Source organism: Homo sapiens, chromosome 14 (assembly GCF_000001405.40).
Source record: "Homo sapiens chromosome 14, GRCh38.p14 Primary Assembly".
NCBI lineage: Eukaryota > Metazoa > Chordata > Mammalia > Primates > Hominidae > Homo > Homo sapiens.
This window is the reverse complement of record NC_000014.9, coordinates 74,551,355-74,576,398: the sequence shown is the minus strand read 5'-3', so window position 1 is coordinate 74,576,398 and position 25,044 is coordinate 74,551,355. Positions and strand designations below refer to the sequence as shown.

The window sequence follows — 25,044 nt, the reverse complement described above, 5'->3', positions numbered from 1 at the left end:
TCAAGAGCAGGGATCTTTGTTTTGTTCACTGACATATCCCAAGCTCCTAGAATGGTGCCCAGGATATAGCAGGCCCTCACTAACTAAATATCCACTGAATGGACACCCCTGTCCTAACGCATCTTCTGTTGCTTCCTAGAGCAGAGAGATGGTCTCAGGGCCATTTCCTTCTGAGCTGATGCTCGGGCCATCCCCTAGCAAGTCACTGACATGGAGGGGCTCTCCCAGCCCTCCCAACAGGTGGTGCTTCCTCACCCTGTGCCCCTTGGCCCTGGGAGTCGGAAGCCAGGCAAACTGAGGGCAATGCCTCTCCCCTGAGGGCAGGGAGAGTGGGCTTGACAGACCCTCAGGAGTGCTGAGAGTCTGGACAGGGGGTTGTGGCAGCTGTAAAGGAGGCTCCTCCTGGTTTCTTCCATCTCTTGGGCCTTAGAAGAGCCCCCATGACTCCCCTTCCCTGGGGCTGTGGGTTTGGAAGAGGGAGGGCTCAGAGGGGTTAGGAAGAAGGGGAATGCTCACTGTAGGCCTCCAGCCAGATCCAATGGAAGAGATTTTATTTTCCCAAGTCTGAGGGTGCAGAAGCCCTGCTCATGCTTTTTGAGGAGAGTGGGAAGAGACCTTTGTCTCAGCCAAGAACTTCCTTCACCACCCACGCCCCATCTCCCTGCTGTTGCAGAGGGTAGGTTCTAGAAATGTGGATGGGCCACACTAAGGCTTGTGGAGGGTCCCTTGGCACTCAACCTCTGCCAGCCCCAGTGCATCCCTGTCCAGCAGAGACTATTTGGAGTGGCCAGATGGGTCTGAGGCACTGTGTTCCAGCCAGGCAGGGGAGGGACGCCTGCTGTTCTGCATTGGACCTTTCAGCTGTTGGACACAACACCAGGGGTTGTCCTTCACATTATAGTCTCTGTGACAGGTAACCCAAGAGTTGTGCAGTGCACAGCCTGTGCAGCTGTATGTGGTGATACTAGACCTGGCTTCTTTCTGGGAAGGAGAGAGATGTCTCCTATTTCCCTTACAAAGTGTATTGCTTCAAGGCCGTCCTTTCCAGCTGGGTTTGGCTGTTGAGGTCCCTTCGAGGTTCCCCTGAAAGGGGGATGGATCTCTGGGCCTTTGTAGTGTTAACGTGCATCTCTCCAACCCACACAAATACCTGAGATCCATGGAGGTCAGGCCCTGAGCAGGCCACGGCTGGCCTTAGGGGGTACAGGTGTGGGATGATAAAAAGACTCCAGCTCTGGGCAGATGTAGCCCAGGGCACACGGTCTAGCTATGCTTTGATCCGGAGCCTAGAAGTCCCAGGAGAGGTTGTGAGGAAGGTGGGGGCCAGTGTGCCTTCCTTCTTCTGCGTGATAAAGCCGGCAACCTCTTCCTTTTCTCATGCTGGGCACAGAGCAGACATCTCTGGGTTGGTGAGGATGCCGAGCTCAGGCCTCTGAGTGCTCAGGGGAGGAGGCCCCGCCTTCTCCCCACATGGGGCACTGGGCAGATTCAAGGGAAATGGTGTCTGCTTTCTACACACTTCCTCCTACCTTCCCCCTTCTCCCATTTGAGCCTGAAGGCGGACATCTGGCCCAAGAAGATCTCAAACTCTCTGATGACAACCTAGTGACTCCCTTTTTTAGTATTCTCCCAGAGCTGAGGAATATATGGACCGCATCCTGGGTTTGGTTTCAGGAGAGGACTCCTCCCAGCCCTGCCCCAGGTCCAGCCCTAAACAAATCTCTGAGATACGAGCTATTCACCTTCTGTCCTCCCAGAGCCTACAGTTCGGTGATGGGGAAAGCTACCTTTTCCAGTTCATCATCATCATCTTCATCATCAGTAGGATTTATTGCACCCTGCTGTGTTTCAGGCATTGTGCTAGATTCCTACCCTATTCTTTTCCTCCTTGCTGTCCCCACTTTAGAGTCACCAGCTCAGTGACATGCAGGACATGGATGTTGTACAAATGTCTTTTGGTCAATTGTGTCGTGTCCAAATAGTGGAGTATAAATGGCATAGCACAGGGACCAGCACCCAGGAGCACAGGGGTGCAGAGGTTCCCCAGAGCTCATCATGGCCTTAGTGGTGTGCTTAGAATTATGGTTACCATGGCGGAAGTTTGGGTTAAGATTGACTAGCACTAAGGTTGTGGTTAGGGTGACATTCTATTTAACAGTACGGTAGTGGTTAGGGTAAGATTAGAGGAATAACTTTAGCAGTGCAGCATTAGGGTGAGGTTTTAATCTTAGGATTGTGGTCAGGGTTGGGTTAGGGTTATGCTAAAGTAACATTTAGGACTGTGGGTGTTTTCGATTGTATGTGTGGTTGTTGTTCTAACCCACCATTGATGGAGCCTTATTGAATAAGCTGACAGTTTACAGGCACCACCTAATTTAATACTGGGGACAGCTCGGCACAGTGGCTAAGAGCATGGGCCACGAGTCAGACAGATCCCGGTTCCACTTGACTCGGTTACTCCCCAGTCGTGCTATCAAGTGTGTTCTTTCACCTCCCCGAGTCTCAATGTGAAAGACTGATGATACCAATACTGGCTGCGCAGAGCTGTGGTCAGAATAACACAAAGGAATGTGGATAAAGTGCCGGCTCACATAGGTAAGTGCTCAGTACTCGATAGCAAATACTTTTTCTTGTCTGGGTCAGTTAGAGTTCCAGCAGGAAAGGGATGGCACACTCGATGTATTTATTTACAAAAGCACTGGCAGAGTCAAGAGAAAACAATGAATAATGGTGGAGTATCCCAGGGTAGTTACGTAGGCAAGCTCTTACCCTCCAGGTCTAAAGGGGCAAGGGACCAGCAGTCATAAGAACCCAGGGTAGCTCAGGCTATAGGAGAGGGCCATGGACAGGGCTGCGGCCTCTGGTGGAGGAATGCAGCCACTGCTCACCTGCAGTACCTGTTGCGAGGGAGCTGGGAGGATCTGCACCTCCACTCACCCTTCTCCTGCCCTCTGACCTCCTGCCACAGTTCCCCACTGATGGAACTGGACCAGAAGGCAGAGGGCAAAGGAATCTCCCAGGACTCAGAGTGGGATGGAGAGGGATCCAGGGGCAAGTGGAAGATCTTCAGCACATTTGCCAGTCCTTGCCATGACCCTGTGAGGAGGGTATTCCCATGACTCCCACTTTGCAATGAGGACACTGAGGGTAAGGGCGATTCCAGCCTAGCTCTCCTCGACTTCAGAACTTGTGATTATAGTCATTGTGCGAACCAGCCTCCAGGGCATGTGAGCGTAGGCAAGTGCGGAAACATCCAGCTTGGCTTGGAAACTGCAGAGTACTGGGTTAGGCAAGGTATCCAGCGTCTTTTCAGAAAACTACAGAAGTCGGTGAGAGCCTGGAGCAGCATTCGGCCTCATTAAAATGTTAATGTATACAGTTTCCAGCACCGGACTTAAAATAACTAGTGACAATAAACATTTCAAGCTTGTAGCTATGTTCATAGCATCTAGCCAACTTAAATCCTGTAGGATTTTTGTTTGAAAGGAAGAGGCTGGGAGCAATGAAGCAAGAAAAGAGAGGAAAGACTGGCAAAGCTCTTTTTCAGATGGCCCAGGGAAGGTTCGCCCCATCCGGCTGCTTTTTACAGAACTGGCTGCTCACTCAGTGAGGGTCTCCCTCTGCGGGGGTATGTGTGTGTATGCGTGTGTGTGTGGCGGGGCGTGGGTGGAAGCTGTGGAGAGAACATGTCTCAAAAGTCATAATGGAGATTTTTTCAGGCTCCGTGAATTCTCCTTTTGAGCTCAAGTTTTTCAAATATGTATCAGGTTTCACCTCTTGTCCAGGACATAAAGGAGGTTTCTGATTTATGGGTCCGGTAGTTTTTCCAGTTACTCCATCTTTAAATCTGCCATCAGTTAATTAATTTGCCACGGTCAGAAAAGGCACTGTGAGCTTCCCAGGTGAAAATAACTTTAGCAAAGTATGATCACAGTTTAAAAAAAAAAAAAAGGGAGGCATTCTGAAACATACACTTGTTTCCACTTGTGAAATTAACTGAATCAGTGTCTCGGCACTCCTCCTCCTCCCCCTGTCATGGCGCATGCACACACACACACTCTCTCTCTCTCTCTCTCACACACACACACACAGACACACACACACACACACACACCCCACCTCTGCAGAAGGGCTAAAGGGGAAGATTTAAACCTGGCAGGATAATTTCCCAGAAAAGGATTAGAAGGGGAAAATGGATTAACTGCAAAGTCATCTGATGACTGTGTTGTATGAGGCTGCTTGGGACCCAGAGGGGTGTATTCGTCTGTCTGTGTCTATCTGTCTGCAGATGACACCGGGAAGATTGCTAAATGATTCCCAATAATGAAATGTGAAAACACATAGTTGCTTTGCTAGCCACATAGCTGTGGTTTTGTGTCTGTGATTCATGGTGGAAGTGAGTAGCTGCGACAAGCATTCTGTGGGTTTTTTTTTTTCTCCTTATTTCTCCTACAAAAATATTTGTGAAAGGTCTAAAAGGAAGTGGAGTACTTTTTGAAAAGAAAAAAAATCCCTGTTCCTTGCAAAACAAAGATTACAGATGAAAACTTCTGGAGCTACCACATTTCTGCTTCCAGATGTCGCCTACGCTGCATTTTCCTCCTGGAGCCTCAGCCCTGCCCACGATGTAACATGTCCACCCGCGAGTGCCCGCAGCAGAGGCCACTTGAGGGAGTCTGCATCTGCAGGGGTCTGGCGGTATCCTCTCAAGACCCCAGCCAGGCCACGCCCTTCCAGGGGAGAAAAATTAATTCCACATTTCTTTCTTTTTTGATGTTCTTGGGACAAGGTCAGAGGCTCCACAAAATGCAGTAGCGTGTGAGGGCAGAATTGTGAAATAATTTATGTCTTAAATAAACCTGAGTTTGAATCTCAGCTCCACCACTTAGCTATGCAGCCTACAGTGAGTGATTTAACCTTGTGAGCTTCAGTGTTCTCATCTGTAGGCTGGGGATGATCATTGCTACCTTATGGAATTGTCAGAAGGATTGACTAATCCACGTAAGTGCATCTGGCACATTTTTGGTCCTCTATAAATGACACCCAGTCTTTTTTGGTGGGGAGGAGGATGGAGTCTCGCTCTGTTATCCAGGCTGGAGTGCAGTGGCATGACCTCGGCTCACTGCAACCTCTGTCTCCCAGGTTCAAGCAATTCTCCTGCCTCAGCCTCCTAAGTAACTGGGGAATTACAGGTGCCCACCACCATGCTCAGCTAATTTTTGTATTTTTAGTAGAGACGGGGTTTCACTATGTTGGCCAGGCTGGTATCGAACTCCTGACCTCAAGTGATCCGCCCACCTCAGCCTTCCAAAGGGCTGGGATTACAGGCATGAGCCACCGTGCCCACTCTTTTTTTTTTTTTTAATATAAAGAAAAGTGGTTTATTTGGTTCATGGTTCTGTACATTTGTTCAAAGTCTCACCGTACCCACTCTTACTTGTCCCCTGCCTCGGGGGTTATCTGAGCCTTTCAGAAATGCAGCAGCGGTCATCAGAAACTTTGAGAATTTGCCCAGAGCACTTGAAGGTGTTTCCAGACCTGGGAGGTTTCTGGTCACAGCCAAGGGTGAGCAGCAGGGTGGGGAAGGGAATCTCATCCCCCAGAGGCAGACAGAGCTCAGCCTGAAGACCCTGGCCCAGCACTTCCCTGCTGGGGATGACCCCGGGCAAGTTAGCAGGCTCCCTGTGCTTCAGTTTTCTCTTCTGTAAAATGGGGACACTAGTTCCTGTATCATAGGGTTGCTGTACTAATCAAGTAAATAAAAAAATAAAATGCCTTAGCAGAGGCCTGGCACATCATAGGTTGACAGATTTGGGCTGCTAGATTGCTGAATGGAAGCTTTCCAGGTTGGGGCCCTAGTTCCCATAGAAATCTCCTTTTGTTTATGGCCCCGGGGTAAATTTCCAGCCCCTGTGAGAGCGGAAAGGGCAGGCTGGGACTTTGGCCAGTTCCTGAAAGTGTATCTTTGACCCAGGTCCCTAGCTGCCTTAGTCTACAGTGTGCTTGTCGGGGCAGGCCCACGAGTGGGGTAAACACATCTGGAGTCAGGCCTGTGTTTGCTGTTCAATAAGCCAGACCTGCTAAGCTTGTGCATGGGCATGTGTGGGGGCGCATCATGGAGGGTGGAAGGGTCCTGAAGGCCATGAGCTGGGAACTCAAGGGTTCAGGAGGTGAGCATCTCATGGCCAAGTTAGTGGTGGTGAGATGTTTGTATACCAGGTTTGCTGTGGCTTTGGGAAAGAGTCCTAGCTCAATCCCCTCAGCCTAGGTGTCTCTCCTCCCCTTCCTCCAGCCCCTCCTCCAATCTCCTGTAGCACTTGCCAGGTCCCTAGGCCCTGCCTTGCATTTTCATTCCCTTTTCATGGCTGCAGCTCTCCAGCCACTTCTGGTTTTCATACACTTCCTTGTAGTTAATGCAGCATCACCATGGCAGCTTGTGGAGGGAGTTTGGCTGCAGTGATGGGAGGGGTGAGATGAGCTTTAGAGCCTGGCAGTCCTGAGCTTTAGGACTGTGGGTTTTGCCGTTCATGAGATACGTGAGCTTGGGCCAGCTACCTTCCTCCTTCATGCCGCAAATTTCTCATAGGTCATAGTGGGGCAGAGACACCTATGTCTTAGGTTCTTGTTAGGGGACCTTTATAAGGTCATGTGTGTTTGGTGCCTGGTGCTCAGCCTGTGTTTAGTAAGTATAGCAATTATTTCATCAAGACAGGTTGTGTGGGAAGGACTCTGACGCCCCAGCAGATACCCAGAGGAAGAGATACCAGTGGACAAATCTCATTATAGTCTGATCTCTGCCCCTCAGCACAGCTGGCTTCTGTCATTGGACCTGGGAGGAGTAACCCCCTTTTGGCATGAGCAGATGCCCTGTTCTAATAGCCAGGGGAAACCCAGGCCTTGATCTGAGCTCCAGCAGCACGTCTGTACACAACTTTAGTCCTTCAGTTCAACATTCCCAGTGTCTGCCCACCCAAAGAACCTGTGCTAAGAGGGGGTCTCCTGCAATTAGACCCCATAACACATTCCAAGTGGTAAGCCAGGAATAAATAACCTTCTCCTGTGTGAATCTCATACTTCCTATTAATCATTCTTCCATTCATTCAGGCCAGTTGGAAGAAAGGATGCTAAAAAGAGGGATGTTCTCTGAGTCGGGCAACTGACAAGGATTTTGTTCAGACTTGGCCACCCTTCTTTCCCTCCCTCCCTCCCTCCCTCCCTCCCTGCTTCCCTTCTTCCCTCCTTCCCTCCATCTCTATCTTCATTCCAGGCACTAGATGACTTGGACCCATGCCTCGCCTCTAAGAGCTCACATCCAGCGGTTTGACATGCTCAAGCAGCTACAGCACACCCAGCCCTTGGGAAGCTTTTGCAAGTGCTCTAGGAGACAAGGAGGGGAGCATCCCTGGGCAGTGTGGGTAATAGGGGTAGGTAGGGGGCCTCCAAGGGGAGTTTTCCATGACTATTTTTAACCTTGTTACTTTCTGGTGAAAACACTTTTTTCAAGGCTTCCTTTTCAAGCATGAGGTTCATAGGATGAGGCCCAGACTGTTGGCCTTCTGTACTAGGTCCCGAAGTATAGTTCTCAAGATGGTGCAAAGATTCGTGGTATAGGCTCTGGAACTAGAATATCTGCAGAATGCCTGTATTTGATTCCTAGTCATTGACTATGTGACCTTAAGTAAGTTACCTAGCTTCTTTATGCCTCATCTGGAAAAGGGATAATAATAATACCTACTTCCTAATTTTAATGGTGGTTAACTGAATTAATATATGTAAAGTGCTTAGCACAGTGCCTGGCATATGATTAGCACTATGTAACTGTTGGCTATTATTATTCTCATCCTTGACTCCTCCTATTTCTCTTTAATCAGACAGGTCTGATTATCCCTGAACACCATGCCAGCACATTCCTGAATATGTCCGTTTATGCTTGTGGCTCTCTCTGCACTCCCCACCCCTTCCTCCGGCTCATGTCTCCCACCCTCTGGAAAGCATTCCCCAGTGATCCAGCCCCACGGCCGCGCTGGAACATGCTGGCTGGACAGCTTACCTGGCCATAAGACTCCTGGCTTCTGCCCCTCTCCTCCATCTCTGCTCTTGGATTGTTATGAAATGCTCGCATGCAGGGGGCTGGCCCGGGGCTGCTGTATATAGTGTACCTGCTGTGTCCTGCACAAGGGTGCCAGGCAGGAGATGAACCCTGGGGCCAAAATCTAGCCTGTGTTCTGCTCACCCAGCACCGGGACCACGCTACATCAGCCTGAAGGAAGTAGGGCAACTTCTGTAAACTGGCTGCCCAGAGAGGCCTCTTGTGATTTGTGCGAAGGCACCAGGTATGCTCGGCCTCTCCCTACCCCCTGCCCCCCAGTCTGGGTGGCAAGCTCTTGGTGGGAAAGATGCCCTTTGCATAATGCCTGATGGGACGGTGCACGTTGGCGGTGGTTGAACGACGAATTCATGAAATCCAGGTTCACCGTGTGCTGACAAGTCTTCCCGAGGGAACTCGGAGCCAGGGGCCTCAGACTGCCTGCGGGCCCTGGGTGGCTGAGGAATGGGGCCCAGCTAGGGCTGGGGAGATGGTTCCAGTGAGGCAGGAGGACTGGGAGAAGCCATGGAGAAGTCTGAAGTTGAGTGTGAGAAATATTTTCAGGGCAGCAGCTGTGTGCCCAGCGCTGTGACGACTCCATGGAAGATATGAAGAGGGTAAGGCCCAGTCCCTTCCCTCCTGGGGGTCTGTGTCCCCCGCCGAGCTGCAACCCTTTGGGTGGTCCAGCTGGGCCCAGAAGGAGACAGGGAAGCACTTAGAGGGGCTCTTTTTCCTGGTGGGAAGAAGAGGGCTATCGCCACAGCAGCTGGACACATGGGCAAGCTAGGGAGAAAATGAGGGGCATTTCCTGGAGCCCTGAGAACCTCTCAGGGCCACCCCCACCCCGCCTCTGCCCCTGAGGTGGCCCGGGTGTGAGCCCAGTGCCCAGGCAGCTCGCTCTGGCTCTCTTGCCTGGCTCTCTTACCCTGCCAGGAGGGAACAAAGGCCGCGCAGGATCTCGAGGGGCCAGGGCTTGGCAGCCCGGCAGCCTAAAGGCTGGCTGCTCGGTGGAAAAGTGTTCACAGTGGACCAACACATGAGGGGGCTGGAGGGTGGAGGGGAGAGATGTGGCTCCTAGGAGTCTCTGGACCCTTTAGAAACTGAGGCAGCACCTACTTCAGGGCTGCCCTTGAGGGGGGACCGGGCTGCAGGCAAGGGCTGGGTGCCCCTCCCTGACATTAACCCCGACACGCAGAGCTCATGCCTCCCTCCGTCTCCCTGCCTGAAACAGGAATGCTGTGTTCCCTTGAGCTGTCTGGGAAGCAGGGCAGGGTGTGGTCTGGACAGGAGAGACTGCCCCAGGGCTCTACCTCCTCCCCACCCACAGCCTGGCAGGGTCATCCCCTGGGGTCTGTGTGCTGGGGAATCCAGTCCTTTCAGACCTAGGTGTGGCCATAGGAAGAGCTAGAGGCCCAGAGCCTCAGAGCACTGGGGATGTGACTCATGGCAGCCAGGTGGGGTGAGTGGGGTGCCTGGAGCTGACTGATGAGGGCAAAGAGGTTGGGTGGGTGCGCCAAGCAGACACAGCAGCAGGAGTGATCTTGAGACTCCTTGGGGACACGGGGGAGAGGGCTGGCTCTCGACCCTTTAGGATAGGCACCAGGGAATGTTGATGATGCCCTATCAGCGTGCCAGGCAACAAGAAGGTACAGATTCCAATCCAGGCTCTGGGCCCGTTGAACATGCTGTCCCTACTCGTCTCCCTATCTTAGGTCCCCAGGGGTTTGGCAGCCAAGGGCCTGCCTGGCCAGACAGGAGGAGAAAGGAGCAGAGCTCTGCAAGGGCCTTCCTCTGCCTTGCCAGCACCCAGATCCTCAGGGGAGACCAAGCCATCAGGGAAACACAGGGCATGTTAAGCTGAAGTGAGCTGCCCCTGCAGCCGCAGGAAGGAGCAGCCTCTGCGCTTTGGCCGGCAGCAGAGAGAGTTCTGGGAACGCCTTCCTCTCTTGGAGCTTTCTCCTAGATCCTTCCTATTCCTCTGGCTGCTCCCTTCCAGATGCCTTCAGAGCCTCTCCCTCTGTCTGCCTCTTAAGCGTTGGTGTTCCCTAGGCCCCCTCTGCCCTTCTTTGTTCTCTTTCCTCTTACATTTCTCAAACTGTTTAGGTGTCAGAACACCTGGAAGTCATAAGGAGTACCACGAAATATCAATATACTTAATTTCATGATTAGAGCTGGGAACAGTTTTATTAGCAGAAACTATGACGATTGTCTATGTATGCATAAAAAAAATTAAAAAAAAAAACCCAGCTATAGGCACACGCACGTGTCCGTGAAAAGCGCAAACTGTGGGATGAAGTATGATAGGCTGTTGCCACATTTTTCCGTTAATATTAATTTACGGCTTGTTCGTTTGTTTAATCGTGTGCTAGCAGACAAGTGGTAGCAGGCGCCAGAGGTTGGAGAAGAATTTATGGGAGCAAGACTTAGAACTGAGACCATTCTGTTCATTATTACATTTTCCCCTTTTAAATTGGAAAACGTTGGCAGAGTTAACGCCCCAGTCAGGCAGTGGCACTCTGAAGCATGGTTTGTTCTGCCTGCTTTCCTCGAATGATATCATCCTTCCCTCTTAACTCTACAGCTACCACCTCTACTCTTACAACCTCCTCCCAGCCCCAACTGTGTCTACAGCCCCAAAACTCTCTCCCAAGTTCTGCCTCCTGGGTGTTTCCATCTCAAGATACCAAGCACTCATTATATCCAAAACTGAGCCCATCATTCACTTCTTGGATTTCTCATGTTGAGATCTTGGCTCTTGGAACTCCCTCCACCTATTAGTCCAAGTCATAGCTGGGAATTATCTGTCTCTACATCTGAAATAGCCCTTGCATCCATGCCTTCTTCTTGGTTCTTTCCTCGGCCACTGATAGCCTAGACCACAGCCAAAGCCTTCCAGCTGGCCTCCAGCTCGCCTCTCTTTAGTCCACTCTCTACCAGGTGGTCTTTCACTGCAATAATCATCATTTAAGAATGCCCATCCCAACATGTCCTAGGCCTGCTTGAAGACCACGAGTGACTTGAGGCTAACATGTGGCTTCCCCTCTGCCCCCTCACCTTTGCTAGGGTACTAGTCCCTTTGTCCACCCCGCATTGGAGCTTAGGGGACAAAAGACTTCAACCAAGGTTGGAGTTTTTGCCATCCCTGGGGTCAGTGCATGGCCTGTAACAGGCACTCAGTACTTGCCCTTTGAATGAGTGAAAAAGTGTAGCTGTTCTTCGGACCGGGTCATTTCCTGCTTCAAAATCTCAGGACACTCCCCTTCACCCACTCAGTACAGCCCAGACACCTCCCTGAATATTTCAAGACCTTCACCATAAGGGCACAGACCTATTCTTTAATCCCTCAAAGCCTCAATGTCCTCATTTGTAAAATGGCGATAAAGAAACGATTAATGGTAGATTTAGGATGAAGTTACCTGGTTTGGTAACCTGGCCTCAGCACTTAGGAGTTCAGCCACCTTCTGCAAGGCATAGAACCCCCATAGCCTCTGTTTTCTTGACTATAAAATGGGGATAATGAGTATCTAAGTCTTAGGATATGGAGAGCTCTATGTGAGAGGATGCACGTAATGGGCGTTATTGGCACAGAACATGGCACAAAGAAAGTGTCATTAAATTATAGCACCAGTTGGCTGGGCCTGGTGGCTCACACCTGTAATCCCAGCACTTTGGGAGGCTGAGGTGGGCGGATCACCAGGTCAAGAGTTCAAGACCAGCCTGGCCAATATGGTGAAACAAAAACAAAAAAAAATTAGCCTGGCATGGTGGCGAGCACCTGTAGTCCCAGCTACTCAGGAGGCTGAGGCAGAAGAATTGCTTGAACCTGGGAGACGGAGGTTGCAGTGAGCCGAGACTGCGTCACTGCACTTCAGCCTGGGCAACAGAGTGAGACTCTGTCTCAAAATATATATATAAAAATATATAAAATATAAATATATATATATAAATATATATATAAATATATATAAATATATATATATAAATATATATATAAATATATATATAAATATATATAAATATATATATAAATATATATATAAATATATATAAATATATATAAATATATATAAATATATATAAATATATATATAAATATATATATAAATATATATAAATATATATATAAATATATATATAAATATATATATAAATATATATATAAATATATATATATAAATATATATATAAATATATATATATAAATATATATATAAATATATATATAAATATATATATAAATATATATATATAAATATATATATAAATATATATATATAAATATATATATAGCACCAGTTTATTCCCTACCCACCCACTTCCCACTTCCTGTTCTCCACCCTGCCACATACGTAGGTAACCACTGTTATTAATATTCCAGGGTATCCTTCCAAGGTTGCTTTATGAATATGCAAATAACTGCAACATATATCCTTATTTTCTGTATGTTACACAGGAGTTCACATGCCCTACACCAGGAGCCAGCAGACTTCCATAAATGGCCAGACAGTAAATATTTTAGATTTTCTGTGACATATGGTTTCTGCAACTACTCAGCGGTGCCATTGGAGAGCAAAACCAGTCACAGATGAGGAGGGCAGCTGTGTTCCAGTTAAACTTTATAGATGCTTAAATTTGAATTTCATATCATTTGCTCATGTCTTGAGGTATTATTCTTTTTTTGATTTCTTTTCCGCCATTTAAACATGTGAAAACCATTGTTAGGTCATAGTCTGTACAAAAACAGTCAGTGGTGGGATTGGGCTGTTGTGCTTTCACTTTTCAGTGTATCTTGGAAAGCTTAACTTATTGATGTAAAGGAGCTGCCGCTGTGTTTCCAGGGCCTATTACCCCATTCTGCCAGCAGATCCTTGTTTGTTTAACCAATCCCCTACTGAAGGACACTTAAGTTGTTTTCATTCTGTACAAACTATTTTGCTATTACAAAATAGTGCTTCTGTAAATAGTCTTGTTCATGTATCATTTTGGACATTTACGAGTGTCTTAGGTCGGGTCCCCTAGAGGTGGGATTCCAGTGTGTGTGATTTTGCGGGGGAAATGCGAAAGGAAAGAAGAAAGCAGTGTGGGAAAGGGGAGAGAGCCAAGTAAAGATGTGGTCCCAGGTAAATCAAGCTTTGACCTGATTGAGGATAGAGCTTACAAAGTTGTTTCTCCTTAAGGCCTGGGGGCCCAGGCTTTTGAACTTCCCTTTCAGGCAGTCATTGGCTGTGTGGTCATGGTGGTGGGAGGAGCTTCTCAGGTGGTTCCCATCAGCCAAGAGCATGGCTTGGAAGAAATCACAGGTATAAGCCTTTAGCTGCTACACTTGCAGATACACAAGCCAGAAAGGGGACCAGGGCAGGGCAGCAACACCTACCACAGAAGGTTTATCTGCAGGATAGTCTTGGAGGTGGAGCAGCAGGGTCAAAGCACAGATGCATTGGGATGTGGATAGACGTTGCCAAATTGCTTTCCAGAAGGGTCATGTCAATTTACATTCCTGCCAGCAGCATCCGAGAGCGTCTGTTTCTGCATAGTCTCACAAATGAGTATGTTATTAAACCTTTGGGTTTTTTTCTAATCTGATGGATTAAAAAATGCTACCTCAGCATAGTTTTCATTTGCACATCCCTTACAAGGAGAAAGGTTAAGCATATTTTTCTGGGTTCAAGAAATATTTGTATTTTTTTTTCTGTGACCTGTTCATATTCCTTGCTGATTTTTCTTTTAAGGCTGTTGGTCTCTGACATTTCTGTTTCTAGGAACTCTGATATTATGGAGACTCATCTTTTCTCTCTGATACGAGTTGCACATATTTTTCCCACCATGTCATTTGTCTTTTTACTTTAAGGTGGGTTTGGCCAAGCAGGGGTTTTTGATCATAGAATTGTTTGGACAAGTAAATGATATATTAGCTAAAACACTTAGCATGATACCTGCCACCTGATAGGCATTGAATTGGAATGATTTCCCTTCCCCCCTCTCCCCTCTAATCTGTGCTTTACCCAAATGGTGCTTATTCTTCTTCAAACATGGCCTGTGCTTCCCACCTCCATGCACTTCTTATGTTATTTTTCTTTTCTTTTCTTTTCTTTTTTTTTTTCTGAGACGGAGTCTCACTCTTGTCACCCAGGCTGGAGTGCAGTGGTGCAATCTCGGTTCACTGCAACCTCCACCTCCCAGGTTCAAGTAATTCTCCTGCCTCAGCCTCCAAAGTAGCTGGGATTACAGGTGCCCACCAACACGCCCAGCTAATTTTTGTATTTTTAGTAGAGACAGCGTTTCAGCATGTTGGCCAGGCTGGTCTCAAACTCCTGACCTCAGGTGATCCATCCGCCTCGGCCTCCCAAAGTGCTGAGATTACAGGCTTGAGCCACCGTGCCTGGCCCTTATGTTGTTTTTCTAATCTGGAATGTCTGCCTCCTCATTTTGGGTCTGTTAAAATCCTATCTATCCCTGAAGCTCCCTGGATCCTTCTCCTAGATATGGTCTGTATTCTATCTGAACTCCTGTACCTCTGCTCTCCAACACAGTCCATCGTGGGTCCTAGTTATGTGTACACATTCACCATGCTTTTTCTGAGCCTCAGTTTCCTTAGCTATAAAATGGAGTTGCTGGGAAGAATAGAGATTTATTTTGATTACAAAACAAATACATGTTTATTCCATGTGATGCATATTTATTGTAAAAATTTCAAAAATATTGAAATGATAAAGTTTAAAATAGGAGGTACACACACACAGACACTCTCATTCTTAAAGAGTGGCCACTATTTACAGATCTTCCGGCCTTTTCCTATGCTTATATAAACATCTGTAGGGGAAGAGAGAGAGAAAAGCTTTTCTTAAAACACAAAACTAGAAGCATACTATCCATATATTCTGCAACTCAGTTTTTTCATTCACTAAAATAACATAGATAAGATGATGTATATAAAATATCTGGCTTCATGTTCATAATGATAATTACAACTATTCTATGCATCTTTTTTTTTCTTTGAGAGGGAGACTTGCTCTGTCACCCAGGCTGGAATGCAATGGCGTGATCTCGGCTCACTGCAACCTCTGCCTCCCGGGTTCAAGTGATTCTCCTGCCTCAGCCTCCTGAGTAGCTGAGACTACAGGTGCCCACCACCACGCCCGGCTAATTTTTGTATTTTTAGTAGAGACAGGTTTCACCATGTTGGCCAGGCTGGTCTCGAACTCCTGACCTCAAGTGATCTGCCTGCCTCAGCCTCCCAAAGTGCTAGGATTACAGGCATATTCTATGCATCTTTAGTAACACTCTTAAATTTTTTTTAGCAGCAAGAGCCTTTCCAAACAAAATAGTACAGTCATCCCTCGATATCCACAGGGAATTTGTTCCAGGACCCCTGTGAATACCAAAATTCATGGATGTTCAAGTCTCTGATATAAAATGACATAATGTTTGCATATAAGCTACGCACATGCTCCCATATACTTTAAATCTTCTCTAGATTACTTATAATACCTAATACAGTGCAAATGCTAATAGTTGTCATACTATATAATTTTTATTTGTATTATTTTTCATTGTTGATTGCTATTTTTGGGGGTTTTCCCCCCAAATATTTTCCATTCACAGTTGGTTGAATCTGCAGAGGCAGAACCCATGGATATGATGGGCCAGCTGTTTTTGGAAGCCCGATTTATGAAGTAAATAGAGGAGAGCAGCCAGGCTAGGGTGAGGGTGAATGGGGTAGAGGGCACAGAGCTCCTCGCCCACTTGTCTTCCCATCGCTGTTGGGAAACCTTAGTGTGTCGGGCAGGGTGTGGGCACACCTTGCACATTTCAGTAAGTGGCATCATTATGGGTACAGACTGCCCAGGCAGCTTTCTTGTGGGCCTGAAGACCCCGGCCACTGGGATGAGAATTTTTCCTCATCTTGGTTGAAAAGCCCAGAGTCCACAGTTGAGAACAGACTGTGGTGGATCTGGTGGCTGTCTCTTGGCTCTGTGCTGGCCTGTGATGGGGATTTCATGATCCATAAAGAAATGAAGAAAATAAAGTCATTTGGTGAGATTTCCATGAAGTTAGGCTTATTCAAACGTTTCTTTTTTGGCTCTGAAATGTCTTTTCTTTCGTGAAATTATGGTGGTAGTGATTGGCAGTTTTGTGTGTGTTTGTCTTAAAGTCTTAGCAACCTAAATAAAAAGCGACTTTATGTTGTTCCCCCAATTTTGTTCCAAAATCTTACGGATTCATGAAATCCTGAAGTCTAGAGATGACTTTTTGGTCCATTGTGGAGGCTTGGCCAGGACTTCCCTGGAACAGTCCCAGAAAGATAGCAAGTTCCATTCTTGTGCTGGGTGAGTTTGGGAACCTCTGTCCTTTGATGAAATTGCAGCGGTTCTTCCAAGGCTGATAGTAGATGGAGCATCTCCTGGGGGCTGTGGTCACCTTCTCATTGAGACTTGCCTTCTTCTGTTACCAGACCTCTACTGTCCTTAATCGGGGGGATACTGCTTCTTTGGACCAGCCTGGGGCAAACATGGCACCAGACCCTTCTCTTGATGTCCCACAACCTGAGACTAGGAAAGAACATGCAAACAGGATTTGGCTAAAGGCTTGCGATTTGCTTAAAGGAAATGAGTGCAAAGATAACACAAGGCTAGACAGTGGGGTTTGCAAACTCCACAGCTCACAGTCTCCACTCCATCCTAGCTGCCTGTGCCCTTCTATGGGGTGATGGCAGTGGTAACCAATTGGAGACCACCAGGGATCCAGAGTTGAGCCAAGAACCTGCAGCCCTCCACACAGCGAGAGCCTCTCTCGCTGCTCACCTCTGAGGCCTAGGCTGGGACTTATAAAGGGAGTTATCAACCTCCTTATATGGATGCTTTAGGAATAAGAGGCAGGACCTATAAAAAAACCTGGGAGCTTCTTCCTTTACTCCACGACGAGCCTCTCAGAATGCAGGGCTTTTTTATTTCTGTCATTTAACCCCAAATCCCCATTAGAGTAGTAGGTGACAATGAATTAGGCTCAGAGGACTCCGGTTGTTAAAAATGTGTTGACACCAGATTAGACACTTGGCCCTGTGTATATATAAGGACACTTGGACAGCAATAACACTTTTTTCTGGAGTCTTTTTATTTCCCTTAAAGAAGAACTTTAAGTGGCCCAGTCATGTTTTCTTATTTGCTTGGGGAGATGTATTTAGTCCAAACTGTAGCTAACTCCTTTTTTCCTCCTTGTTTCTGCAATTTAAAAATTCTGGCGTATTTTTCTACTTTGACCATTTACTTGTATTTGTGAAATAATTGCATGGTCTCACTGTTCTCGTCATCCTCACACCAGCCCTATGAGGTGGGCATTGCTATTCTTGTTTCAGTGATGAGGATTCTGAGGCTCAGGGGAGCTAAGTGACTTGCTCAAGGCTGTGCTGCTAGTAAGAGGCAGAACCAACATCTGTCTGGCCCAGTCCCAACCCCTCCCCTCTGTACAGCCAGGTCCTGTCTATGACTAGGGAATACATGGTTTGTTTATTTGGTTTTCCTCTCTGCAAAACTACCCAACTGGCCCTTAAGGGATTTGAACCCTGGGATCTTGGTGCCATGAGCTCTGAGCACCAATTAGAGAAAAAACTGACAGCAGCAATAACATAACAATGACAACAAACCACCAAGAAAGAACACTTTGAGTTTCCATCCTGACCAGACTGGAGAGCTCTTTGTCAGGGTCAAGTTCAGAAAAGTGGCAGTGGTCTGGGCAGAACATGAGCTACTCTTTTCACCTCTCTGGGATGCTCTGTGGCGCTGCCACTAACCTGAGCATGGCACCAGCCTGGTACCCAGGACGAGGCTCCCAGTGAGCCAGCAGTTCAGCCACCTCTCTCTCCCAGGCGCTTTCTTGGAAGTCCTCGGAGGGAGTTTGCTTTCTTTTTTGTTTTGTTTTTTTGAGATTGAGTCTCACTCTGTTGCCCAGGCTGGAGTGCAGTGGGGTGATCTTGGCTCACTGCAACCTCCACCTCCTGGGTTCAAGCGATTCTCGTGCCTCAGCCTCCCCAGTAGCTGGGACTACAGGCATGTGCCACCAAGCCCGGCTAATTTTTGTGTTTTTTGATGGGGTGTCTCTCTGTTGGTCAGGCTGGTCTCGAACTCCTGACCTTAGGTGATCCTCCTGTCTCAGCCTCCCAAAGTGCTGGGATTATAGGCATGAACAACTGTGCCAGGCCAGTCCTAGTTTGCCTTCTGCCAGGAAAGCATAAGGAGTTTGCTCATGGCCTGGTCACCAAGGGCTAACAGAACTGGGGTGGAGATTTGGGGAGGGAGAGAATCCCAGGGCCTTATCCCACTTGGGCAAGGAAACCAGTGGGGAGGGTTGGCATGGGACCTACTGGGGGAAGGGATGCCCCCGAGGCCTGAGCAGAGGCTTCCAGGCTGAGCTCCCACTGGGGTCTGGGCTGGTTGTCGGCTGGCGCAGGACACAGGTTGTGGATCAGGCCCTGGGTTGGCATCCTGGTGTCCCCATTTAGCTCTTGTATAACCTTGGGCAAGGACTGAGCCTCTCTCAGCTTTGATGTCTGCAATACGCTTACACCCACCACAGTCCAGACACTGTCGTATACACAGTGGTTCATAGACATTGTGACAATGACAGAGTATTTACAACAGAGGCTGCCTTTTAGAACAGCCTGCCCAATAATAAACATCAAGAGAATGTGTCCAAATGTATGAGACAATTCAAGCAGTTAAGATGTCAAAGGACATGAGCGGAGGATTTTCACAAGTGGTAAATAAATACCTGAAATATTTTAACCTCAAAAATAATTTTTTAAAGGAGAGAAGGGAGGTGAAAAGAACATTGAAGTACCACTTTGTGCTTATTCAAAGCTAGCAAAGTATTAAAAATTAATAATATGCTGTGCTGGCAAGATTGTGCTCTAAGTGGTTCATTTATATATTTGGATGCAACCCTTTCAGAAAGCAATACACCAGTGTGTGCCTCCAGACATAAATGTTTGTAACCTTTGATACAGTCATTCTAGCCCCAGGAATTCATCCTAAAGTTTTTGTTTTGTTTTGCTTTTTTGAGATGGAGTCTCCCTCTGTTGCCCAGGCTGGAGTGCAGTGGCATGATCTCAGCTCACTGCATCCTCCACTTCCTAGGTTCAAGTGATTCTCAGCCTCAGCCTCTCAAGTACCTGGGACCACAGGCATGCACCACCACACCCAGCTAATTTTTGTATTTTTAGTAGAGATGGGGTTTCACCATGTTGACCAGGGTGATCTCGAACTCCTGGCCTCAAGTGATCTGCCCGCATGGACCTCCCAAAGTGCTGGGATTACAGGCGTGAGCCACCACGCCCAGCCTCATCCTAAAGTTTTAATCCTTTCAAGATGTTTCCTATAACATTTTTTCAAATATACAAAATAAAATAGAATAGTACAACAAATCTCCCTGTACTAAAGGAATATTTTAACAGAAGACAAAGTCATATAGGTAAGGATGTACACATTTAAAACTTAAAAACAGTCCAGGTGCAGTGGCTCACGCCTGTAATCCCAACACTTTGGGAGGCCAAGGTGGGCGGATCACCTGAGGCCAGGAGTTCAAGACGAGCCTGGCCAACATGGCAAAATCTTGTCTCTACTAAAAATACAAAAAATTAACCAGGAGTGGTGGCGGGCTCCTGTAATCCTAGCTACTGGGGAGGCTGAGGCAGGAGAATTGCTTGAACCCAGGAGGCAGAGGCCGCAGTGAGCTGAGATCGCGCCATTGCACTCCAGCTTGGGCAACGAGAGCAAAACTCGGTCTCAAAAACAAAAACAAGCAAAAAACTTTTTAAAAAATCTAAATATGTAACAGGTAAATGTCTAAATAAGTTGTGATTCATCTTTAGCTGGACTATCATATAGCGATGAACATGACAAATATGACAAATTGAATTGTGTAAAGTGTGATCTAATGTTAAGTGAAAAACGGAATTTAAAATTGTATCTCTAGGTGATGACAATAGTGTAAAATCATATACGTGAGCAAAGGTTGAAAGAAAATATGCAAAAGTAGTTGCTGTGTTAGGATGGGAGATGATGAATTCATGTTTTTCTCCTTGAATATTGTTGTTACATTATTCTTACAATAAAAATCAATGAGAGGGAGACTCTAGGCTCTGCCCTGAATCAATCTTGAAGGTGTGTTTGTTGGGCACCTCTTCTACAGGTAATTCATATTAAGGGATATATTAAGAAGTGGTAGGGAGTAGGTACAGGACTTGGTTTTAGGGCAGGGGCTGGTCCATAGTGGGTTCTCAAAGACTTCTGGAATGTCAGAGCTACGTGAGGACCGTCTAACACCCCCATTTTGCAGTTAAGGGTCCTGGGGCCCAGAGGAGCTAAGTGATTTGCCCGGAATAACCCACCAAAAGCCTGGTGATTCCACATAGGGGTTGGTATTTCTACAAAACTAGCCGGCAGGCCTTAGATCAGTCCTTCTGCCTCAGGGCACCTTCATGTCTGGGAGTCAGCCATACATGGGTGAGAAGGCAGCCAGAGAGCATTTTTCTTGTGCAAAGGCAGAGAGTGGGTGGCTGGATGAGGAGTGGCACAGACACACTGTTCCCAGGGTGCAAACCCCCGTGCCGCGGTTGTCTCCACAGGACCCTGAGTGGCCTCAGCCAGACCCACCCTTCCCAGCAGCACGTGGGGTTGTCCCGCACTGTCCGACTTCACCCGACTGCCACGGCCAGTAGCCAGCTCTCTTCCAACGCCCTGCCCCCGGGACCAGGCCTTGAGCAGAGAGATGGCACCCAACAGGCGGTACCTCTGGAGCACCCCTCATCCCCCTGGGGTAAGGATACCCTGTCTTGGGTCCTAGAAGAGCAGGGCCTCTAGAACTCTCTTCTCCCACCTTGGCTTCCCCCTCTGCTCTCACAGAGGGGCTGAGTTGTCACCTTGTCCCTCATTCTTTCAGCCAATCAACAAACGCTTGTTGAGCACCTGCTTTGTGCCGGGGTCCAGGGGTCCTAAACCGGTGGACCTGGACTTCACCCCGTTGCAACCTTTAGACCTAGACTGCTCTATTTCTGCCCAATCTATCATCCCCTCCTGCCTTTGCTTCCCTCATATCCCGCTGTGAACCTCAACTCCCTGGTCCCACTCGTTCCACCTCATCCCTCCTACAAACCCCAACTCTCCTGGATCAACCCAACCAGTTGTTACCTCAGCACCTACAGCTGCGCCTCTGCTTCCCACAGAATCTCTGTGGATTCACGCCATGGCACACTCTTTGTTATTGCCTGACAACCCCTCCCTGTGTGCCTGGACATTTTCTCCCTCCATTTCTCAGAGCAGCTACTCCAGGCCTCCCCTCCCCTCCCCTCCTTTCCCGAGGCCCCATCCATCAGCCCACAGACATGCCCCCACCTCCCAGAGAGCTCCTCAACTTCCTGCCTATCACACCCACCACTACCCTGTTTACATCTGTGCCTGAGCTCACCTCCTTCCTTTTTTTTCCATTTTAAAAATTGAAGTGGAATTCACATAACATAAAATTAACCATTTTAAAGGCTACACTGCAGTGGCTTTTAGTGTATTTATAATTGTGTGCAACCGTCACCACTATTTCATTCCACAACATTTTTATCACTCCAAATAGAATCCTTGTACCCACTAAGCAGCAGTCACTCCTTATCTCCCCTCCTATCCCTGGCAACCACTCACCTATTTCCCGTCTCTATAGATTTGCATATCCTTGACATTTTACATGAATGGAGTCGTACAATGTACCATCTTTTGTGTCTGGCTTCTTTCACTTAGCGTTACATTTTCTTTTCTTCTCTTTTTCTTTTTTAAGAGACAGAGTCTTGCTCTGTTGCCCAGGCTGGAGTGTGGTGGCATGATAACAACTCACTATAATCTCAAACTCCTGAGCTCAAGTGATCCTCTCACCTCAGACTCCAGAGTAGCTGGGACTACAGGCATGCACCACCATGCCCAGCTAATTTTTAAATGTTTTGTAGAGATAGGGTCTTGCATGTTGCCCAGGCTGGTCTCAAACTCCTGGCCTCAAGTGATCCTCCTGCCTCAGCCTCCCAAAGTACTGGGACTGCAGGCGTGAGTTCCTGTGCCTGGCTTAGCATAACGTTTCTGAGGTTTATCCATGTTGCTGTGTGTATCAGTGCTTCATTCCTTTTCATGGTTGACGATTCCTTTCACGCCATCTTGAGGGGGAGGTGTCCCTCTTATCTAAGGCACGTTCTGGCACCCTTTGTCATTTCCTCTGGAACGCTGGCATCACTTGTCCCCCCTCTTCTGTATCTTCACCCTCTCCCACCCTCTCAGCCCTTTCCCCTCAACGTGTACAATTGCTTACAGCTCTCTCATTCACACACACACACACACACACACACACACACACACACACACACGTTTCTCCGCTTTCTTCCTATCTCCTCCCTTCACAGTCAAGCTTCTCAAACTCATGGTCAAAACATATTTTTTCAATTTCCTCCCCTCCCATTTCTCCCTCAACCTTCTGCCTCTGGCTTCTGTCCCCAGGCTCCCCGTACTGAATTAATAGCCCAATTTCATTGCCACCACTCTTGGGAAATGAAGCGGCCTCAGCTTGCACTGCTGCCATGACCTCCCAGGTGGTCACCCTGCCTCCGGACCCCCCAGCACATCAAAGCCAGCATGATGTCTTGCTTAAAAGTCTTCTGCAGCTTCCCCATCACCCACCAAATAAAGTGCCTGATCCTTGTTCTGGTAATCAGGTCCCCCACAAAACCTGACTCTAATCCTTTCAGGCTTTATCTTCTCTTCTCTTAGAAAACTCTCCTCTCTGGCAAGCTGGGGCTGCATTCTGTTCCCTGCCCTTGGGTTCAAAGCCCAGCTGCATCACTTGCTAGCTGCGTCACTTGAGCACCCAAACTTCTCTGGGCCTCATTTTTCTTAGCTGTAAAATGGACACAGTAGGTTGGATATATGAAAAATACCAACACTCAGCCATAGGAACCTACAAAAATGGCAATTTCTAATGATTCAACCTAACATACCACCCACTCAAGAGGGTTGATGTGCATGAAGTGTGAGCTTGGTGGCTGGCACATCTGCGAGCTTCTCAAAGGTATCACCTTGCCCCTACGATGGGACCCTGCGTCCAGTAGGTACTCAGCAAATGCCCTTGAGATGAATGCAGCCCTAGTCCCATGGGGCTTTCTAACCAGACTCTGGAGGTCACAGCTGTGCCTCTCAGCCCTGCCCCCTGGACCCAAGCCCTCTCTCTGCAGGGCTGAACCTCACGGAGAAAATCAAGAAGATCAAGATCGTCTTCACTCCCACCATCTGCAAGCAGACCTGTGCCCGTGGACACTGTGCCAACAGCTGTGAGAGGGGCGACACCACCACCCTGTACAGCCAGGGCGGCCATGGGCACGATCCCAAGTCTGGCTTCCGCATCTGTGAGTCCCTTTCCTGCTCAGATGGTTCCCAGCTGGCCCTGGAGGGTAGATGGCCAGAGAGCCAGGCCTGCCTTGGACTGGAGCCCGCTGCTCCCAAACTGTGGCTCCACAAGTTGTCCCAAATCACATGGGGAGCTGAGTCCTCACTTGGCAGCCTAGCTGTGTGACTCTAGGAGTCACATAACCTCTCTGAGTCCAAGTTTCCTCAACAGAGAAGAGACAGAGTTCATGATAATGCCACCTCCCCATCTCCCAGGTTATTGTGGGGTGCAGGGAAACGCCTAAATAGACTTTTCAGGAAGGCAGGGGCTGGTTATTATCCACTCTTCTTCACTCTACATGAATGAAGTGGAAAGTCCCTACATTTCAGGGGGCTCCGGGCTACAGGAGCCATCTAGGGTCAGGGTTCTGCCGCCTGTTTCTCTGTGGTGGTCACCAGCCACAGAGCGGGTGCTGCTGTTCTTCCACCGCTGGTTACCTTGAGGGTTGATGTTGCAGATTTCTGCCAGATCCCCTGCCTGAACGGAGGCCGCTGCATCGGCAGGGACGAATGCTGGTGCCCCGCCAACTCCACCGGGAAGTTCTGCCACCTGCCTATCCCGCAGCCGGACAGGGAGCCTCCAGGGAGGGGGTCCCGCCCCAGGGCCTTGCTGGAAGCCCCACTGAAGCAGTCCACTTTCACACTGCCGCTCTCCAACCAGCTGGGTGAGTGCCGGCACAGCTGGGCCGGCGGGACCCTGGGAGGAGTGCCAGTTGGGTGGAGGCTGTCACCATGGCTGTGACAGGGATAGGGAAGCTGCCTGTAGTCCTTCCTTTATGATCAAACCTCCCTCTTTCTCCTGGCCCTCAGCGCTAAGTTTCATTCCCTCAACTTCTCAGCCCCCTCCCATCGGAATTTATCGACTTGTTTTTGCCCTTTCCCTGTGCTGGGAACCCTGGGGAAGACAAAACAGTGTAAGGGCAGGGTGCCGCCCTCAAGGAATCCATGGGCCTGGGTAATAGAGGGAGAATGGATGGGAAATAGAATATCAGCATAAAACATTTCATTTTCCCTGCCTTCCATTATTAGGTGCCAAAAAAATACAGAATGCTTTAGGGGATCAGGGGATGGAGAGGCTCCTAAGCCCAGAGTGCTCTGGGACAGCTGCGTGGAGGGGATGGACTGCAGTTAGGCCTGAAACAATGGGTAGCATCTGGTTAAGCAGAGGGACTGGCACGAGCAAAGGCACGGAGGTGGGGCCATGCAGGAGACAGGGGGCTGGAGTTCCAGGGTTGGCCAGGGTCATGGGGGAGGTAGAATCAGGAAGGTAGCTTGGAATGTGATAATGAGGCTCCTTCAGTGACAGAGTTTGCACTTCATCCCGTCCCCACAAGGGATCATTCTGGGGTTCTAACTTGGGAGCAAAGAAATGGAAGGAGAGTTTTGGGGTGACACATAGCCAGTGGCCTGCCTGGCCCAGGGGTGGTGGATACCCTTCAGAGGGTTGGAAATGAGGGTGGGGCCCTGCTTCCCTGGCTCTGACTCTAGCCCCTGTGC

General features: G+C 48.4%; 1 protein-coding gene and 1 long non-coding RNA gene across 2 annotated transcripts in view, besides 4 other annotated features; one reads left to right on the top strand and one right to left on the bottom strand.

Annotated features, from left to right (window-relative positions):
• LTBP2 (latent transforming growth factor beta binding protein 2) overlaps window positions 1-25,044 on the top strand; it is a 114,055-nt gene that overhangs the window by 35,839 nt on the left and 53,172 nt on the right. Inside the window, exons 4-6 of the mRNA NM_000428.3 lie at window positions 20,706-20,896; window positions 23,337-23,507; window positions 24,006-24,212. Of these exons, the coding sequence (NP_000419.1) occupies window positions 20,706-20,896; window positions 23,337-23,507; window positions 24,006-24,212 (569 nt within the window). The remainder of the gene's footprint in view (window positions 1-20,705; window positions 20,897-23,336; window positions 23,508-24,005; window positions 24,213-25,044) is intronic.
• On the bottom strand, window positions 14,746-24,084 carry LOC124903346 (uncharacterized). Its single transcript, XR_007064265.1, has 2 exons — window positions 23,986-24,084; window positions 14,746-16,635 (listed from the first exon to the last, which is right to left on the bottom strand). It is a non-coding gene; the product is annotated as an uncharacterized LOC124903346 (long non-coding RNA).
• Window positions 20,277-20,777: an enhancer, noted in NCBI's record as "H3K4me1 hESC enhancer chr14:75022325-75022825 (GRCh37/hg19 assembly coordinates)". NCBI's record gives its function as "activates a minimal SCP1, AML or CMV promoter by ChIP-STARR-seq in naive H9 embryonic stem cells {active_cell/tissue: H9 hESC(naive)}" and the evidence as "EXISTENCE:reporter gene assay evidence [ECO:0000049][PMID:30033119]".
• Window positions 20,778-21,278: an enhancer, noted in NCBI's record as "H3K4me1 hESC enhancer chr14:75021824-75022324 (GRCh37/hg19 assembly coordinates)". NCBI's record gives its function as "activates a minimal SCP1, AML or CMV promoter by ChIP-STARR-seq in naive H9 embryonic stem cells {active_cell/tissue: H9 hESC(naive)}" and the evidence as "EXISTENCE:reporter gene assay evidence [ECO:0000049][PMID:30033119]".
• Window positions 23,716-24,380: an enhancer, noted in NCBI's record as "H3K27ac-H3K4me1 hESC enhancer chr14:75018722-75019386 (GRCh37/hg19 assembly coordinates)". NCBI's record gives its function as "activates a minimal SCP1, AML or CMV promoter by ChIP-STARR-seq in primed H9 embryonic stem cells {active_cell/tissue: H9 hESC(primed)}" and the evidence as "EXISTENCE:reporter gene assay evidence [ECO:0000049][PMID:30033119]".
• Window positions 24,381-25,044: an enhancer, noted in NCBI's record as "H3K27ac-H3K4me1 hESC enhancer chr14:75018058-75018721 (GRCh37/hg19 assembly coordinates)". NCBI's record gives its function as "activates a minimal SCP1, AML or CMV promoter by ChIP-STARR-seq in primed H9 embryonic stem cells {active_cell/tissue: H9 hESC(primed)}" and the evidence as "EXISTENCE:reporter gene assay evidence [ECO:0000049][PMID:30033119]".